Source organism: Homo sapiens, chromosome 7 (genome assembly GCF_000001405.40).
Source record: "Homo sapiens chromosome 7, GRCh38.p14 Primary Assembly".
Taxonomy (NCBI): domain Eukaryota; kingdom Metazoa; phylum Chordata; class Mammalia; order Primates; family Hominidae; genus Homo; species Homo sapiens.
In genome coordinates, this window is record NC_000007.14 from 76469600 (window position 1) to 76487958 (window position 18359).

Sequence of the window (18359 nt, forward strand, 5' to 3'; positions counted from 1 at the left end):
AGCCAGGATGGTCTCGCTCTCCTGACCTCATGATCTGCCTGCCTCGGCCTCCCAAAGTGCTGGGATTACAGGTGTGAGCCACTGAGCCCGGCCAAATATTCCAATTTTTAAACATCAGCTCAGTTTTTAAAAGCCAAACCTTAGTAACCCAAGCAAAACACATCTACAGGCCAGTTTGTCCGTCGTCAGTCTGTCTTGGTGGGAAAGACAGGAACTCTGGAAACAGATTTGGGTTTTCTCAGTCCCTGGATATCCTTGGGCAAGCTGCATGTCTTCTGGTGACTCACTTTTCTCAGTTGTGGTATGGAAATATCCCGCTTCCCCAGTTGTGAGGACCAACGAGAATTACTAGTCAGGTGGAGGGGCTTAGCACGGTGCCTGGTGCCTGGTAAACCTTTACCTGGTAGCCATTGCTGTTATTCATTTATTTATTTATTTTACACAATAATTTACTTATTGAGAGCCTTCTCTCCCCGCCCTTGCAGTCTCTAGGTCACTTTTTCCACTTGTAGATTTTGTGCACAAGCCCCAGAAAGATGGCTGGGGGCAGGGGCTCTGCGTACTATTCGATGAGACCCATAACGTGGCTGTAACTGTCTTTCTCATACTGCAAGAACACGGCTGGCAGATCCAGCTCCTCGTATAGTGCCTTCACCCGGGCCACCTTCTCGGCCTCCTTCTGCCTGTAATTTTCCTTCAGGATCTGGTACTGTTCTGGAGTGGCCTGTAGCAGACACTGAACCACCAGCCAGCTGCATTTGTTGTCCTGGAAGTCATTGCCAACTCTGCCAGTCACACTGGGGTCCCCAGAGAAGTCAAGGTAATCATCCTGAATCTGAAAGAACTCTTGAATCTCCAGCAGGATCTTCTTGGCACTGGTGTGCTCCTTCTTGTCATCCATTCTTGACATGTACATGGCTGCAGCTACAGGAAGGTAGAAGGAGTAGAAAGCTGTCTTGTACTTGACAACAGATTTGTGCCTTTTTTCGGTGCATCTGCGAAGATCCACATTGCCCTGGGGGGTTGTGATGAGGTCGAGGGTCTGCCCAATCTCAGTCTGATAAGAATTCTGCTGGAAGAGCTCCATCAGGTTCAGGTAATAGGGCTGCTCCCGGCAATACAGCTTCAGCAGGCAGTAGATACATGCTTCCAGAAGGATAGCATCATTGATGGCATCCAAACCCATGCCCAGCTTCTGATACCAGGAGATCTGTCCCTGGCAGGTAAGGGATGAATCCATAATGTCATCTGCCACCAGGAAGAAAGCTTGCAGCAGTTGCGCATACCAGCCCACAGTCGGTGCCCACTGGAGACTATCAGCATCCAGTTTCCTCGGCTCCACCAGCTCCCGGAACGCTACTAGCACCATCAAACCTCGGTGATACTTGCCTCCAATGGCATTGTACTCCAGGACCTCCTTGAGCCGGGCAGTAGCATCTCCTGTCTCTGGGTGCCCCATCTCATCCTCAGTCAGCACCCTAACGATCTGGGAGTAGTGCTGAACGAAATCCTGCTTTGCTTGGGCATAAATATCTGATTTCTGGTTTCCATTCGTTCTTTTTTTTTTTTTTTTTTTTTTTGAGACGGAGTCTTGCTCTGTCGCCCAGGCTGGAGTGCAGTGGCGCGATCTTGGCTCACTGCAAACTCCACTTCCTGGGTTCACGCCATTCTCCTGCCTCAGCCTCCCTAGTAGCCGGGACTACAGGCACCCGCCACCGCGCCCGGCTAATTTTTTGTATTTTTAGTAGAGACAGGGTTTCACCATGTTAGCCACGATGGTCTCGATCTCCTGACCTCGTGATCCGCCCGCCTTGGCCTCCCAAAGTGCTGGGATTACAGGTGTGAGCCACCGCGCCCAGCCTGGTTTCCATTCATTCTGAGGGAGGAGCAAAGGGCTGTGTTCCTGGATGCGGGTTCCTGCTTGGCTGTTATTTATTTTTTTTTAAAGAGACAGGGTCTCGCTCTGTTGCCCAGGTTGGAGTGTAGTGGCACGATCATAGCTCACTGCAACTTTGAACCCCTGGGCTCAAAGCAGTCCTTCTGCCTCAGCCAGTCAAAGTGCTGGGATCACAAGGTGTGAGCCACTGCACCAGGCCTGCTATTACTGTTACCATTACACATCCACTGCTGCCCCTATTACTCCCCTACTTTGCCCTCTGGGTAGGCCCGTAAACCAGGGCTCCACCTTCTGACTGGCTGCAGGTGGTCAGATTGCTCTTGGCCACCCAGGAGCCAGTGGGTTCTTGGTTCTGGAGAAGCTGGTTGACCACAAGGGAATTGTAGGTTACTGGGGCCGGCACCATGGGTGCCCTTTGGAAGGTTCTGCTCTGACCTATCCCTGGAGGCCCCAGCCAGAAGAGTTGTCACTTCCCTTCCGGCCACCCACTGTGCAAGAGACAAATCACATGCTAGTTTCGTGCCATCTTCCAGTAAGACGTGGGAGGCACTGGCCTGAGTGATCCCTTTTCAAGCAAAGCCCCATCTCGCCGTGCTCACAGGACTACTGTCATAGGAACATGGATGGTTTGTTCTTCCATTTTTGTGGAGCTCGGGGATGGGGGGATGTGTCTGCTGTCAGGGAGGTGCCATGGTAAGTTGACAGGGCCTGATATTAGTGAAACTACACTGGGATAGCAGCAGCCATTTAAAGTAATAATGGTAAGACACAGCGGTGGTGGTGGTTTGGTTTATATTTATGACCTTTTAAAAGTGTTTGGCATTTTAAGGGAGGTTTGTTTTTTGTTTTGTTTTTTGAGGCTCATGTTGCCCAGGCTGGAGTGCAGTGGTGCAGTTCTCGGCTCACTGCAACCTCCGCCTCCTGGGTTCAGGGGATTCTCCTGCCTCAGCTTCCCAGGTAGCTGGGATTACAGGTGCATGCCACCATGCCCAGCTAATTTTTGTATTTTTAGTAGAGACGGGATTTCACCATGTTGGCCAGGCTGGTCTCATACTCCTGACCTCAGATGATCCGCCCCCCTCAGCCTTCCAAAGTGCTGGGGATTACAGGCATGAGCCACTGCACCTGGCCAGGAGAGTTTTTTTCTGATAATAGAAGTAATACTTTCTCACTTTAGAAAATGTGAAAAGTTCAGATATATAAGGAAGTCAAACAAAACGTCTCCTATATATGAAGAAGAAAAGAAGCAAGTTTAAAAAAAAAGAAAAAAAAAGGTCTTCTATCGTTTCTCCACTCAAAGACAGCTGTTAACATTTTATTGACTTCTATGGAGTTTGCCCTATGCTTCTGTTTTATGTAATAGAGACAGTGCTGTAGTGAATAGCTTCACGTCAAAATTTTTCTATAATTTTCTGAAGTTAGAGTCTTAATTATTGGATCAAAGGAAGTGAACATTTTTAAACCTCTTGATACATATATTACCAAATTGTTTTCTTTTCCGTTTTTTTTAATAAATAGAGATGGGGGTCTCTCTGTGTTGCCCAGGCTGGTCTTGACCTCCTGGCCTCAAGCAATCCTCTTCCCTCCACCTCCCGAGTAGCTAAGATTATAGGTGTGAGCCACCATGCTCAGCCGCTGATTTTAACTTGTATGTTTTAAACAAAATTTCTAGTAAAGTAGAACATTTCTTTGATATGTTTGTGTCAGGATTTGACTCTCCCAGGTCTTTGGAGAGGCTTTCTAACAAGACATCCCCCGTGGGTGGCCATCTGCCCTGTGAGAAGGTCATTTCTAGTTCCAGGTCACGCACAGTGTGTCAGCTGGTGGGGTGTGGAGTTTCAGGCCCAGGCCTCCTGGAAAGTGCCCGAAAGAGAAACGGCTTAGAAAATAAGGACTTTAACGGTGGTGTGGGTTGAGTTTGGAAAGTTTAGACCATGTTAGTGGAATCAGAGCTGGGAAGAGGTTCTAGAAGTTACCTCCTCTCACTGGTTTCCAGTCCACACTTCTCAGAACTCTCCCATTTTGCAGTCAGGTGCAGTGGCTCACATCTGTAATCCTAGCACTTGAGGAGACCGAGATGGGCAGATCACTTGAGGCCAGGAGTTTGAGACCAGCCCTGGCCAACATAGCGAAACCCCGTTTCTACTAAAAATACAAAAATTAGCCAGGTGTGGTGTGGTGCACACCTGTAGTTCCAGCTACTCAGGAGGCTGAGGCATGAGAATCACTTGAGCCTGGGAGGCAGAGGTTGCAGTAAGCCAAGATCGCACCACTGCACTCCAGCCTGTGTGATGGAAGGAGACTCTGTCTCAAAGAAAAGAACTCACCTATTTTGCAAAGGAGCTTCATGGTTCTCTTGAAGAAAAATAGGAATGGAGGCCACCTCTGTGTCAAAAACAACGTCCCACATTTCTGTGTTTCACTTTTTTTTTTTTTTTTTTTGAGACTGAGTTTCACTCTTATTGCCCAGGCTGGAGTGCAATGGCGCGATCTCGGCTCACTGCAACCTCCACCTCCCGGGTTCAAGCGATTCTCCTGCCTCAGCCTCCCTAGTAGGTGAGATTACAGGCATGTGCCACCACGCCCGGCAAATTTTGTATTTTTAGTAGAGATGGGGTTTCTCCATGTTGGTCAGGCTGGTCTCAAACTCCCGACCTCAGGTGATCCGTGCCTGGCCTACTTTTTTTTTTCTTTTTCTTTTTCTTTTTCTTTTCTTTCTTTCTTTTCTTTTTTTTTTTTTAAGAGATAGGGTCTTGCTATGTTGCCCAGACTGGTCTCAAACGCCTGGCCTCAAGTGGTCCTCCCACCTTGGCCTCCCAAAACGCTGAGATTACAGGTGTGAGCCACCACGCTTGGCCTGTTTTACATGTTGACGGACAGCATATAATCACATGTATAAGGGTTTCTGCTTGTAAAAGTCTGGAAACCCATTCTAACTGCCAGAATCACAGAACCTAGAGAAGGGGACATAACTGCCCTGTGGCCACCCAGTAGCTTTCATCTTCTCTCGGGACGGCAGAGGCAGGACAGCCAGCATTCTGGTGAGGATTGAAGGATTAGTTGTAACAGATTTCAGCAGGTCTGCAGTGATCAGATGGGTTTCTCACATATTGTTAAGTTGAAAGTAGCCGTGGCTCAGTATGAGTTGAGTACCTGTTTAAAATCTGCATTCAAAGCCTTCTTCCCAGAGGCCACAACTGCAGTGAGATCCAAGTGTGTGGCTCACCCGCCCCGGGGCTCACAGCTGGGCAGGGTGATTTCCACTCAAATTCTTGTGCCAGTGCAGATCTTGTTCTAAAGCTTTTCTAAATGCCTGGAGACTAGAAAGACTTTTGGATACTTTTCCCTTTTTCTTTTGGATGAAATTGCATCTCCAGTAGAACAGCAGCATTCCATGGTGCCTCAGCCACGATCCTCTGGACAGAGATTTGTGGCGAAGACCTGACGAGAGACTGTAAAGGAAAAGCAGGGTTTGTTTTTCCTGGTCAAAGTTGTTAATACTAAAAAAAAGAAGAAAAAAAAAACTTTGGCCAGGTGCAGTGGCTCACGCCTGTAATCCCAGCACTTTGGAAGGCCAAGGCAGGTAGATCACCTGAGGTCAGGAGTTCGAGACCAGCCTGGCCAACATGGTGAAGCCGCGTCTCTACTAAATACAAAAAAAAAAATTAGCCGGGCTTGGTGGTGGGTGCCTGTAATCCCAGCTACTTGGAAGGCTGAGGCAGAAGAATCACTTGAACCCGGGAGGCGGAGGTTGCAGTGAGCCGAGATCACGCCATTGCACTCCAGCCTGGGCAACAAGAATGAAACTCTGTCTCAAAAACAAAAACAAAAAAAACCCTTTGATCATTAAAAAGTTATATGACTATTTTAGAACATTTGCAAGTACAGAAAGAGGTAAAGAAAGAATAGCCCAGGTGCAGTGGCTCACACCTGTAATCCCAGCACTTTGGGAGGCTGAGGCGGGTGGATCACTTGAGGTCAGGAGTTTGAGACCAACCTGGCCAATGTGGCAAAACCACATCTCTACTGAAAATACAAAAATTAGCCAGGCGTAGTGGTGCGTGCCTGTAATCCCAACTACTTGGGAGGCTGCAGCAGGAGAACTGCTTGAACCCGGGAGGCGGAGGTTGCAGTGAGCCAAAATTGCACTGCTGCACTCCTGCCTGGCGACAGAGCAAGGCTCCTTCTCAAAAATAAAAAAAAAGAAAAAAAATCCCATAATTCTTTGATTCCAGTGACATTTTAGTGTTGTTCTTTCCAGACTTTTAATTTTTAATTAATTTATTTTTATGAGACAGGGTCTCTGTCTGTCACCCAGGCTGGAGTGCAGTGGTGCAATCATGGTTCACTGCTGCCTCAACCTCCAGGGCTCAAGCAATCCTCCCACCTCAGCCTCCTGAGTAGCTGATACTACAGGCACGCACCACCACAAATGGCTAATTTTTCTAGTTTTTGTAAAGACAGGCTTTTGCTGTGTTGCCCACGCTGGTCTTGTATTTCTGGACTCAAGCGATCCGCCCGCCTCGGCCTCCCAAAGTGCTGGGATTACAAGCATGAGCCACCGCGCCTGGCCCTTTCTTTCATTTTTTAAGACTGATTTGTATTCCATCATTAGAATGTTCCATAATTGGTGCAAGAATTCCTTTATTGTAAAGTGTTTAGGCTGCCTCCAAATTGAGGCTTTTTCCCATGGCCAATTATAATACTAATAATTTTCATAATGAAGAACCGGCATCATTAGGAGCTGGAACAAATTAGGTTTTTAAGCTGCAGCTAAGTGATGGTTAAGCCGAGGCTGCTGCAGAGACTGGTGCACCGACACGCCACTGTATTGTGCATAATTGCTGGGTTCAAGGGGAACGCAGTGGGCGTTTCTGGGCAGTGACTCAAAGGTGCCTGTGCCCCTGGAGCAGAAGGCTCACCCCTCCTTTGGTGTTTCAGAGCCTCTGGGATATTGGGCACCTGAAGAGCTGCAGCCCCAGCTCTGCCCTCAGGGAGTTTCTGTTTTGGTGGGGAGAAGGCCACTGAAACCAGGGAGTGCGGTTGTGTTTGCGTAAGTGCCCTGCGCCGTGCACACAAGGGTAGGTGGAGCCAGCCGTCTCTGGCAAGCTGTGGGTCAGGGGGCCCAGGAGAAGGGGATACCATGGTTGGGTCTGGAAGGATGGGCGTGTTTGCTTGGGGGCTGGTATAGAGGGAGGATCAATTGCTAGAAGGTGGTAAGTGGCTTGGAATGTTCTGGAACTTTCTAGAATTAGATGTAGGTATCAAAGGTGGCGGGCTTGGTGTGAGTAGGAACAGTGGCTGGTCATGGAGGGGCTTGTGTGCCTTGTCATCCTCTGGAGTCTCCAGTACCCTCCTAGGGCCTGGGCCATGGTGCGCCCTCCATTGGGGAGGCTGCGTGCCTTCGTGGAAAGTTTTAGCTGATGTCCTCGCCTGTATTTCCCAGGCTGTTTTTGCAGAGTTGTGAGAGTTGGTTCATCCGGGCCATGAGGACATGTTGGGACATACCCCGTGTGCCGATGATGGAGGCGGCCGTGGCTGCCCGAGAGATGCGTGACACCCAGGAGTAATTGGCTTGGAAGGCAGTCCTCTGATTTGTACCTCATTGTGGTTACAGAAACTTCCAATTGAAGACACTGAGCTGAACCATTCCGCCCGCCCGCCCGCCCGAGGGCACTCCAGGTCTGATCTTCGGGGCAGGTTGTGGGCTTTTGTCGGAGGAATTGGCAGCTCCGTGGCGGGCCTGGCACCCACAGAGCTGCCAATTCCTGTGTTCGGAGTTGTTGCAGGCCTGACTCACCTGTGTTCTCATGCTGTGTACTCAGGGCTGCCCTTGTGGCCGTTCCTCCTTGAGACTGAAAGGGTGGGCAAGTGCTAGGGGTGAGGGGCCAGGAGAGGCAGGGAGGCCAAGATGGGTTGACTCTCTGCTGTATGCCTAGTGCTGTGTGGGCACCTTATACACACCCGTCTGTGTTATCCTCATGAAAAACACTTAGGATACATGTTGATAACTGCATTTTCCCAAAGAAAGCAAGCTTGGAGAGCTTAGATACTTCCATCAAGATGATACAATAGCCAGGCATGGTGGCGCGTGCCTGTAGTCTCAGCTGGGTGACAGAGGGAGACCCCTGTCTCTACAAAAAATTAAGAGATCAGTTGAGTATGGTGGCACATGCCTGTAGTCCCAGCTGCTCGGGAGGTGGAGGCAGGAGGATGGCTTTAGCCCAGGAGACCATGGGGCTGCAGTGAGTGGTGATTGCAGCCACTGCACTCTAGCCTGGGTGACAGAGTGAGACTCGGACTCTAAATAAATAAATAAATAAATAAATAAATAAATAAATAAATGTCACCTTTTATTAAGTAGTGTATGTGTGACCTTGAGTTATTCAGCCAAGGTCACACATACATGACTAAGAGGCAGCACAGAGAACAAACCCAGGTCGGGTCTGGCTCTAAGGCCCATTTTCTTAGCTAGGAGGGCTCAGTCTGAGCTTCACCTTGGGCTTCACTTACAGGCCCTGCTTAAAGAGGGGGAAAGGAAAAGGAGAGAACGACCCTCGTCTCTCAAGCACTATACACCCTCATTGTGACAACACGCCCATGAAGGACCCTGGCCAGTAGGGCCCCCACTGATACAATCTGGTGATTCCCGAGCATACACATCATATTTTATCCCCATTTTGCCAATGAGGAAACTGAGACCCAGGTAGTTACAGTGACGTCCTCATAGTCGCATGGCTTGTGATAAGATGGGGACCCTGGCTTCTGGTGTGGTCCCAGACTGTACTACCCCAGCAAGGTTTCAGTGAGAAGGGTAAGACCACCTTCCCTGGAAGGGAGACAGATGTGGAGCAGCACCTGGAAAGAAGCAGGCCTGGGCTCTGGCATCAGTGTGCACACACACTGCATCAGCTCTGATTTTTTTTTTTTTTTTTTTGTAGAGGTGGGACCTCTTGTCACCGAGGCTGGAGTGCCTTGGGATTATAGCTCACTGCAGCCTCTAACTCCTGGGCTCAAGCCATCCTCCTGCCTCAGCCTCTTGAGTAGCTGGGACTATTGGCATGCACCTCCGCACCTGGCTAACTTTTAAATTTTCTGCAGAGATGGGATCTCACTATGTTGCCCAGGCTGGCCTCAAACTCCTGTGCTCAAACCACCCTCCTGTCGCAGCCTCCCTAAACACTGGCATTGCAGGTGTGAGCCACCACACCCAGTCCCCTTGACCTCTTTCAGCCTTGGTTTCCTGTCCGTAAGTGGGAGAAATGTCACCTTGGCAGTCTGTGCAGCTTAGGAGAGACAAGTACATTTGATGTTGGTTACTAAATGTTGGACCCTGGACCGGCACTCCAACAGCCGGTGCCCTGGGGGGCAGCCATCAGGTGGGGCATTTGCAGGCCTCTTCTTATTCAGACAGCTCCAGGTGCTGAGCGGAATCATTGTCCACATTCACTCTGTCATTCTGAAGCAGTGTGTAGAACATTCTAGAACACTCACCACGTGGCATGCCCCTGCTGGGTCCCGGTGATGCAGCTGTGAATGAAGCAGGCTTGGGGTTGCTGCCACCTGGGGAGGAGCAGAAGGACTGTGGTCACAGCCACACGTGGACGCGGTTACTAGGGTTCTGGTGGGTGCTGTGGAGGGTGCAGAGGGCGTGTGATGGGTCATCCTGAGCGATGCAAGCTGGGCCTGGAGGACGTGGAGTGTTCGCAAGGGAAGAGGGTGGGCTGGAGTGACTGCAAGGAGAAGGTCTCGGGAGGTGGAGCTCGGGATGTGGGGAAGAGCTCCCTGGGCCTGGTGGCCGGTCAGCAGGGGCCAGGTCGGGGAGTGGGTGCAGAGAGCCTTGGAGAGGCCAGAGAGGGGTGATTCGGTGCCCATCTAGGGCTTCCTTTTTGGTTAGCAATGCTTCAGGGCACCTGGGAGACATGAGGAGCTAGAACCTGTGCTGCAGTTCCCAGCTCTGCCCCTGCTCCCTGGGTGTCCCAAACCCTGCTCCTTTCCAAGAAATGTTGGGATCTCATCTTCAGGATGGTGGGTGCTAATAGGGAGGCTGAGGTGGGTGGATCACCTGAGGTCAGGAGTTTGAGACCAGCCTGGCCAACATGGTGAAACCCCGTCTCTACTAAAAATACAAAAAATTAGCTGGGCGCAGTGGTGCATGCCTGTAGTCCTAGCTACTCGGGAGGCTGAGGCAGGAGAATCACTTGAACCTACCCGGGAGGTGGAGGTTGCAGTGAGCCGAGATCACACGCCTGGGTGACAAGAGGGAAACTCCATCTCAAAGAAAAAAAAATACATGCATGATGAAACACACTAAGCAGTTGGGTCAGAGGGGAATTATCAGTAGCAAGAAAGAAGCTGGGCTGGTGACTAGCACCCGGAATTTATGCTCTCTTTCTTCATGGGCCTGTGCGGCGGTACGTAGGCTGCGGGATTGACTTTGAATTCTTCCTGGCTGCCACAGCAAAGAGACAGGATCAGGTTCTTGATTCATGATGCCCTTAAGGTGTTAGGGGAAGAAAAGCAAGCGTGAGACCAGGCGCGGTGGCTCACACCTGTGATCCCAGCACTTGGGAAGGCTGAGGCGAGTCTATCCCTTGAGGCTGGGACTTTGAGACCAGCCTGGGCAACACAGACATCATCTCTACAAAAAGTAAAAAAATGAGCTGGGTGTGGTGGTGAATGCCTATTGTCCCAGCTGCTCTGGAGGCTGAGTTGTGAGGATTGCTTGAGACCAGGAGTTTGAGGCTGCTGTGAGCCAAGATCACACTGCTGCACTGTAGCCTGGGTGAGAGAGTGAGACCCTGTAACCAAAAAAAAAAAAAAATCAGCTGTGGAAAAGCATCACGTGTTTCCCCTGCGCTGAGGCTGATTCTGCAGGGCTACTGATGTGCATTGGTAACTGCTCATGTCTGTCCTGTTCACAGATCTGCCGGAGGCGCTGGGCAATGACCCCGGGACTCCAGGCCAGAGGGGTCTGAAGCTGTTTGGGAAAGCAGCGGGACTCCTTGGGAAGATGGCCATGGCCCCAAGCCCTTCCCTGGTGCAGGTGTACACCAGCCCCGCGGCTGTGGCCGTGTGGGAATGGCAGGACGGGCTGGGCACCTGGCACCCCTACAGTGCCACCGTCTGCAGCTTCATCGAGCAGCAGTTTGTCCAGCAGAAGGGCCAACGTTTTGGGCTTGGGAGCCTGGCCCACAGCATCCCCTTGGGCCAGGCAGACCCCTCGCTGGCCCCTTACATTATTGACCTCCCCAGCTGGACCCAGTTCCGCCAGGACACCGGTAAGACGCTGTCTGCCTCTCGCACATATCTGGGTGCCGCACCTGCTTTCCCACAGGCTCTGCGCCAGGTGTTGGGGTGATGGACGTGACTTACAGAGCTTCTGCTCTCTCCCTGCAGCACACGTGGTGGTGGGTGGGTGCAGTGAGTGGGAACATCCACATAGGTTGAGTGCAGCTCACAGTGGGAGAGGCACTGTGGGAGGCCCTTCCCCTTGTCTTGCAAAGCAGAAATGCCTGTCCCGACCACAGAGGTTGAAGGGTTCCTTTGGCCGGCAGGCCGGCATGGAGGTGGTGCGTCATAGGAGTTCAGAGGGCCCTGTCCCACCACTCAGTGGCTGTGTGCCCTGGGCAGGCAACTGCGCCCCTCTGCATGTGTGCGTTTCTGCTTTTTGGTCTGCGATGTGTTTTGATCTTTTTTTTTTTTTTTGAGACGGAGTCTGGCTCTGTTGCCTAAACTGGAGTGCAGTGGCGCAGTCTCGGCTCACTGCAACCCCTGCCTCCTGGGTTCAAGCGATTCTCCTGCCTCAGCCTCCCGAGTAGCTGGGATTATAGGCATCCACCACCACACCTGGCTAATTTTTGTATTTTTAGTAGAGACGGGGTTTTGCCACGTTGGCCAGGCTGGTGTCGAGCTCCTGACCTCAGGTGATCTGCCTGCCTCGGCCTCCCAAAGTGCTGGGATTACAAGCATGAGCCACCGCGCCTGGACCTGCAGTGTGTTTTGATCAGTATTATTGAGAATGAGGCACCAGTTTCCTCTCGGAGCCATCCCTTACTCTAATCTGGTGGTTGTCACTGGGGGTGATTTTGTCCCCGGGGCCATCTGACAATGTTTGGAGACATTGTTGGTTGTTACAGCTGAGTGGGTGGGAGGTGGGGGTGCTCCTGGCATCTGGTGGGTGGAGGCCAGGGATGCTGCTCGCCATCCGGCAGTGCACTGGGCTGGCCCTGCAGTAAGGAATTATTGGCCCACAGTGTCACCAGTGAGGAAACTTGAAAAACTGGTTTTTCCTTTTTTTTTTCAATTTTAATTTTAGTTTTATTTTTAAAAGTATGGGTTTTTTTTTTTCGTGTTTGTTTGTTTGTTTGTTTTTTGTAAAGACTGGGTCTCCATTGCCCTGTGTTGCCCAGGCTGGTCTTCAACTCCTGAGCTCAAGTGATCCTCCTGCCTTGGCCTCCGAAAGTGTTGGGATTACAGGCTCGAGCCGTCATGCCCAGCCCTGGAAACTATGTGTTTCCAGGAGTGTCGTAGAGTCTGTGAAAACTGTGGCTGTCAGTCAGCTCCCAAGTCGTTGCCTTCACAGTGTGTGAAGTCAACTGAGAAAGATAGCAGACAGGATAAATAATAACATGGAAATTGCATATCGTGGCAGAGAGCAGGAAGTGTTAATCGGGGAATGAAAGTGGCAGGTGTTGTAGAGGTCGATTTGAAGTTAGCTGGGTGTGGTGTCATGTGCCTGTAGTCCCAGTTATTTAGGAGGCTAAGGCAGGAGGATCGCTTGAGCCCAGGAGGTCAGGGTGGCAGTGAACTATGATCACATCACTGCACTGCAGCCTGGGCGACAAAGGGGTACCCTGCCTCTAACAATAAATAAATAAACAAATAGCAGCATGACTGTGTACCTACTGTGTTCCTATTTGTTTATTTTGGCGGTTGAAAAAAGAATTTGAACGTTCCCTGTATCTTGGGGATGCTAGCAGACTAACCTTTTGTTTTCCTTTGAAAATAGGCACCATGCGGGCTGTGCGGAGACACCTGTTCCCCCAGCACTCAGCCCCTGGCCGAGGTGTCGTCTGGGAGTGGCTGAGCGACGATGGCTCCTGGACTGCCTATGAAGCCAGCGTCTGTGACTATCTGGAGCAGCAGGTGGCCAGGGGCAACCAGCTCGTGGACTTGGCCCCCCTGGGGTACAACTACACTGTCAACTACACCACCCACACGCAGACCAACAAGACTTCCAGCTTCTGCCGCAGCGTGCGGCGCCAAGCAGGGCCGCCTTACCCGGTGACCACCATCATCGCTCCGCCGGGCCACACAGGCGTCGCCTGCTCTTGCCACCAGTGCCTCAGTGGCAGCAGAACTGGCCCCGTGTCAGGCCGCTACCGCCACTCCATGACCAACCTCCCTGCATACCCCGTCCCCCAGCACCCCCCACACAGGACCGCTTCTGTGTTTGGGACCCACCAGGCCTTTGCACCGTACAACAAACCCTCACTCTCCGGGGCCCGGTCTGCGCCCAGGCTGAACACCACCAACGCCTGGGGCGCAGCTCCTCCTTCCCTGGGGAGCCAGCCCCTCTACCGCTCCAGCCTCTCCCACCTGGGACCGCAGCACCTGCCCCCAGGATCCTCCACCTCCGGTGCAGTCAGGTATCGTGGGCAACGGCCGCTCGTTTTGTCTGCCCTGTGTTTCCGCTCTTAGCCGGGAAGACTCACCCCAATTCCTGCAGATGCGGCTCCTGCCCCCTAGGTGGTCCTGCCGTGGCATCTCATTTGCATGTGGCATGTGGGTGCCGAGGTGCCGTGGCCATCCAGAGCCTACCTGACCCCTTGTACCTGAGTCCTGGCGGTCACCACACGGGTTAGAATCTACAGTCCTTTCACTCATGATGATTAAGGGCCTCCACATGGAGCAGAGTTAAAGGCCTGTGGCCTCTGCTTGCGGGCTGCATGGCGAGCATTGTGCCCGAGAACACTGGGTCACTGCCTGTACACTGACTCCCGCCTTGTGCCAGGCCCTAAGGACCCAGAGACCAGAGTATCAGCCCTTACCCCTGAGCCCTAGTCTAGTGCAAGGGGCTGTCAGCGCGGTGTGAGGGAGGGCAGAATGTGGAGCACGTGGCAGTGGCTGCAGGTGGCATGGGTGACCTGGCCCCCGTGATGATGCAGCCCAGCCCAGAGTGCCTGGTAGAGCGCTCAGCTCCTTGAGAGAGAGAGAATGATACCACGGGCCCAGTGCAGACCAGAGCGGGTGGCATTTAAAATGAGGAGATTGGTCAGGCACAGAGGCTGACACCTTTAATCCCAGCACTTTGGGAGGCCAAGGCAGGAAGATCATTTGAACCCAGCAGTCAGAGACCAGCCTGAGCAACATAGCGAGACCCCATCTCCACAAAAAAAATTTTTTTAATTAGCCAGGCATGGTGGTACACACCTGTAATCCCAGCTACTTGGGAGACTGAGGCAGGAGGATTGCTGGAGACCAGGAGGTCAAGGCAGCAGTGAGCTGTGATCGCACCACTGCACTTCAGCCCCCTAGGTGACAGAGCGAGACCCTGTCTTAAAGCTGGGCCCAGTGGCTCACGCCTGTAGTTCCAGCACTTTGGGAGGCCGAGGTGGGCGGATCACCTGAGGTCAGGAGTTCAAGACCAGCCTGGCCAACATGGTGAAACCCCATCTCTACTAAAAATACAAAAATTAGCCAGGCATGGTGGCCAGCGCCTGTAATCCCAGCTACTTGGAAGGCTGAGGCAAAAGAATCCCTTGAACCCAGGAGGTGGAGGTTGCAGTGAGCCAAGATCGTGCCACTGCGTTCCAGCCTGGGCAACAAAGAGCGAAACTCCATCTCGGGGGAAAAAAATAAAAAAGATAAAATGAGGAACCCCCCCAGGATTTCCCTGGATTTGGCCAAGGTGAATGGGCTGGCCGTAGCCCTCTGACTGTCTGGGTGACTTGGGGCTTCGTCATTCATTATTGAGAATGTTGGGCTTGGAGCACATTTTGAGAATTCAGAGTGGTAGCTGGGACAGGGCTTTCTGAGAGTGCCCTGGTGCGGGTGGTGAGGGAGTGGGTGGGCCTGGGGCCACCCTGGTCCCAGGGAGGAAATCATCTCCTTTCTCCGCACTGGCCCTGGTCGGCATCCTGCTGCCTCCCTGCTCACCGGCCCACCCCTGCCCACCGCAGCCACGTCAAGGGCTGAAACTTCACAGGGTGGTTGAGACCGCCTTGGCAGCTTCTTGGACCTCTAGTATTTGTTCAGACTGGGTTTCCGAGGACCCTGCCAGCTTGTGTAAGACACAGTGACAGCGCCTCCCGCTCATTGGTTCGTGTCATGTGCCAGGCCCTCCTGAGCAGGCTGCTTGAGTGACTTCACTCATCCCACGATGCTCTCAGGCTGAGCAGTGTTCTTCGCTTACAGGAGAGCACATTCAGGCCCATGAGGTTGGCGACACAGCCAGCAAGTAGCGGAGCTGGGATTCAGCCCAGACCCCAAGAGTGGGCTATCTGGGGCACATGGGGAGTTATTGACATTCCCGGGAAGGCAGGGGGCTCTTTTAATACATTTTAATTTTATTTTATTACTATTTTTAAAGACAAGGTTTTGCTCTGTCACCCAGGCTAGCGTACAGTGGTGCAATCATGGTTCACTGCAGGCTTGAACTCCTGTGCTCAAGTGATCCTCCTGCCTCAGCCTCCTGAGTAGCTGGGACCACAGGTATACACCACCACACCCGGCTAATTTTTCAGTTTTACGTAGAGGCAAGGTCTTGCCATGTTGTCCAGGCTGGTCTTGAATTCTTGGCCTCAAGCAATTCTCTTGCCCCAGCCTTCCAAAGTGCTGAGATTATAGGCATGAGCCACCACACCTGGCCCAAAAGGCCTCTTGAGGGATGAGCTAGGAGGAGGCCAGTAGACAGGAGGGTGATGGGCCTTGGGTGAGTCAGAGTTTTCCGGGGCATCTTCTGCCAGGAGTTGGGGCACGTGCATCTGAGATCTTTCTGGGAGTTGGGAGTATAGGAAGGTGTCATCGGGGCTCTCTGAGGACATAGACATAGGCAAGCCAGGCTCAGGGAGATGCTCCCCCAACTTCCCTCCCTGAGTATCTGGGTCAGCCTGTTTCAGAGAACAGTGTGCTCTATCTGCTGGCCCAGGAGGGTTCTTAGAGGTGCTGGGACTTCTGTCAGCCCTGTTCCACTCAGCTTCCTGGAGCTTCTTAAGTTCTTAGGAATTATTTTGAGGCAAATTTCTAGATAGTGCTAGAGCTGGGATTCTGGAGTTAAGTCATTTAATGTGGATTTGTTCCTTTCTCCTGGTATTGGGCCTCGTTGGTCTTTCCTAAACCATTTCCGTTTCTCCCAGTATTTCTCTGGGGTCCCCGTCCCTGGCCTGAGGGCCCCCAGAAGTGCTGATGTGGGTCCTACCGGTGTGGGCCAGGCAAGTTACAGAAAAGAAGGTGGATGGGCCAGTCTGTCTTCCCTTGGTGCTGGGGTGGGCATGCTGTGGCTTGCCCCACGTTGTAAGTCAGGAGGGAACCAGGCCAGCAGGCTCTGTTAGTGGAAACAGCCTCAAAGGGGCCTGCCTCCTGGGGTAGGTGTAGGTGCATCCTGATTCCTTTGGTTTTCTTGGAGCTGGGAGAGGTGTAATTCACCTGCACGAGCCTATCTACGCGCTGAAAAACAGGCTTTTCCCCTGCCTGATTCGTAGTGAGGCCCCCTGCAGTTAACCCTCCTCTGACGGATGTAGAGCCAGATGGGGCTTAGTAAATACCTGACCTCTTAACCTAGCAGGCGGCAAGGTTCTCACAGCCAAGTGCATGTCAACAGCATCAGGTGAAAGTTACCTTGGATGTGAGGAGGCAGGCAGGGCAGGCAGGGCCCGTCTAGAGCCAGCGCCATGGGCTGGGGAAGCCCGAGAACCGACTTTTTACTGGCAGCCACTGGAAATACCATGTGAGCGCGTGAAATTGAAAAATTTCCTGGAACTCACGTGCACAGCTTCCACGTGCCCCCTGGGAACAGGCCGTGATACAAGAAAGCGTGTCATCTGGGGCTGAGCTGCTGGGTGGCAGTAGATTTCCTGGTAGCTGAAGTTGATCCCTTTAAGCACCAAAACTTGTGTTTTAATGATGTTGGATGGAAATCTTTCCTAAATGTGTCATGCATGCTCTTGTCTCCCTTAATGGAGAGAGTGTGACACTGCTTAGCACTTGGATGGCTTGGGGTGGTGGTTATGACCAGCAGTCTGTCACAGCTCAGCGAGGTGAAGCCTGTGGGCGTTTTGCTCTGTGCTGAATGGCTCAGTGGCCCTGCAAAACGGCGCTCAGCTCTTGGTGGCTTTCTGTTGTGGTGGGCTGCTGCTGCTGCTGCTGCTGCTGCTGCTGCTGCTGCTGCCCTTGCCTCTAAAAGAACTCACTTCCTCTTCCTCCTGCTGCCACCTGTCTTTTGGCTTGTGGGATTGGAGTCATGGGGCCCAGATGGAGCCTTGCTCCTGACTTATGATAGGCCCTCGGTCTCTTTTCTTCTCTATTTTTTTCTTCTTTCTTTTCTTTTTCTTTGTTTTTTGTTTTGTTTTGTTTTAAGAGACAGGGTCTCACTCTGTCACCCAGGCTAGAGTGAAGTGGTGTGATCGTGGCTCACTGCAGCCTCAAACTCCTGGGCTCAAGGGATCCTCCTGCCTCAGCCTCCTGAGTGGCCAGGACTACAGGCTTGTGCCATTGTGCCCAGCTAATTTTTTAAATTTTTTGTAGAGACGGGTCTCACTATATTGCCCAGGCTGGTCCCAAACTCTTGGCCTCCCAAAGCACTGGGATTACAAGTGTGAGCCACCGTGCCCTGCCTCTTCTTCTTTTGAGCTAGTCGGTTTCTGAGGTTGCCTTCTGCTCTATTGTTGCTGTGGTTTTCAGGATGTAGTTAGGGCCCTACAGGAAAGTGCCTGGTGGCCCTTAGGGCCTGGCTTCACCTCCCTCTGCTCCTCCAAGACCTTGGCCCCATGGATATTTGTCCTGGGTCTCACCACTGCCCTGGCGGCCTTTGGGAATCATCCTCACAGGTAGAGGAATTGAGGCTCGGGAAGGCGACTTGCCATGCTCAGCACACACGGCTTTGAGCGGGAGCATACGCCTCTAGCATCGTCTCCAGCCTCTGCAGCTCATGGGACTGGCTGCCAGCCCCAATCCCAGAGGGTGTGGACTTGGAGAGGGGCTTTGGATCTCCTTCCTCTCCGGCCTCCTGGCTTTGCCCCTCGCCCTGCATAGAAAACTCGGAGTCCTCATGTCTCACGTTTCCCACTCTGTCTGGGATCTCCTGGAGATGGTCACAGACAGGAAAGCCAGGGAGGGCCTAATAGGTGGACCAGGAGTTGGGGAGAGGAGGAGGGTGCCTGAGGCCATGACTATAGGGACTTCTCAGAGAAGGACACTTCAGGGGGCAGTTGGTGCCCCCATCTGGGAACGTTCTGCAGGT

The 18359-nt window shown here is 52.3% G+C and overlaps 1 protein-coding gene and 1 pseudogene across 21 annotated transcripts in view, besides 3 other annotated features; one reads left to right on the forward strand and one right to left on the reverse strand.

Moving 5' to 3' along the window:
• DTX2 (deltex E3 ubiquitin ligase 2) overlaps positions 1-18359 on the forward strand; it is a 44283-nt gene that overhangs the window by 7891 nt on the left and 18033 nt on the right. For 6 of the 20 annotated variants that reach the window (NM_001102594.3, XM_017011726.3, XM_047419852.1 and 3 more), the window contains 2 exons: positions 10822-11178; positions 12909-13548. In NM_001102594.3, coding sequence (NP_001096064.1) covers positions 10911-11178; positions 12909-13548 — 908 coding nt within the window. In that variant the 5' untranslated portion in view covers positions 10822-10910. Of the gene's footprint in view, positions 1-614; positions 821-6838; positions 6951-7514; positions 7580-10821; positions 11179-12908; positions 13549-18359 lie in introns of those variants that run through there. The other 14 variants (XM_047419853.1, XM_047419860.1, XM_047419858.1 and 11 more) reach the window with 6 other exon arrangements.
• Positions 421-5401, reverse strand: FDPSP2 (farnesyl diphosphate synthase pseudogene 2; annotated as a pseudogene). The gene has a single exon (NR_003262.1). The product of NR_003262.1 is annotated as a farnesyl diphosphate synthase pseudogene 2 (transcript).
• Positions 15715-16616: an enhancer, noted in NCBI's record as "H3K27ac-H3K4me1 hESC enhancer chr7:76114631-76115532 (GRCh37/hg19 assembly coordinates)". NCBI's record gives its function as "activates a minimal SCP1, AML or CMV promoter by ChIP-STARR-seq in naive H9 embryonic stem cells {active_cell/tissue: H9 hESC(naive)}" and the evidence as "EXISTENCE:reporter gene assay evidence [ECO:0000049][PMID:30033119]".
• Positions 16617-17518: an enhancer, noted in NCBI's record as "H3K27ac-H3K4me1 hESC enhancer chr7:76115533-76116434 (GRCh37/hg19 assembly coordinates)". NCBI's record gives its function as "activates a minimal SCP1, AML or CMV promoter by ChIP-STARR-seq in naive H9 embryonic stem cells {active_cell/tissue: H9 hESC(naive)}" and the evidence as "EXISTENCE:reporter gene assay evidence [ECO:0000049][PMID:30033119]".
• Positions 17066-17425: an enhancer, noted in NCBI's record as "active region_26201". NCBI's record gives its function as "activates an Ori minimal core promoter by ATAC-STARR-seq in GM12878 lymphoblastoid cells {active_cell/tissue: GM12878}" and the evidence as "EXISTENCE:reporter gene assay evidence [ECO:0000049][PMID:35858748]".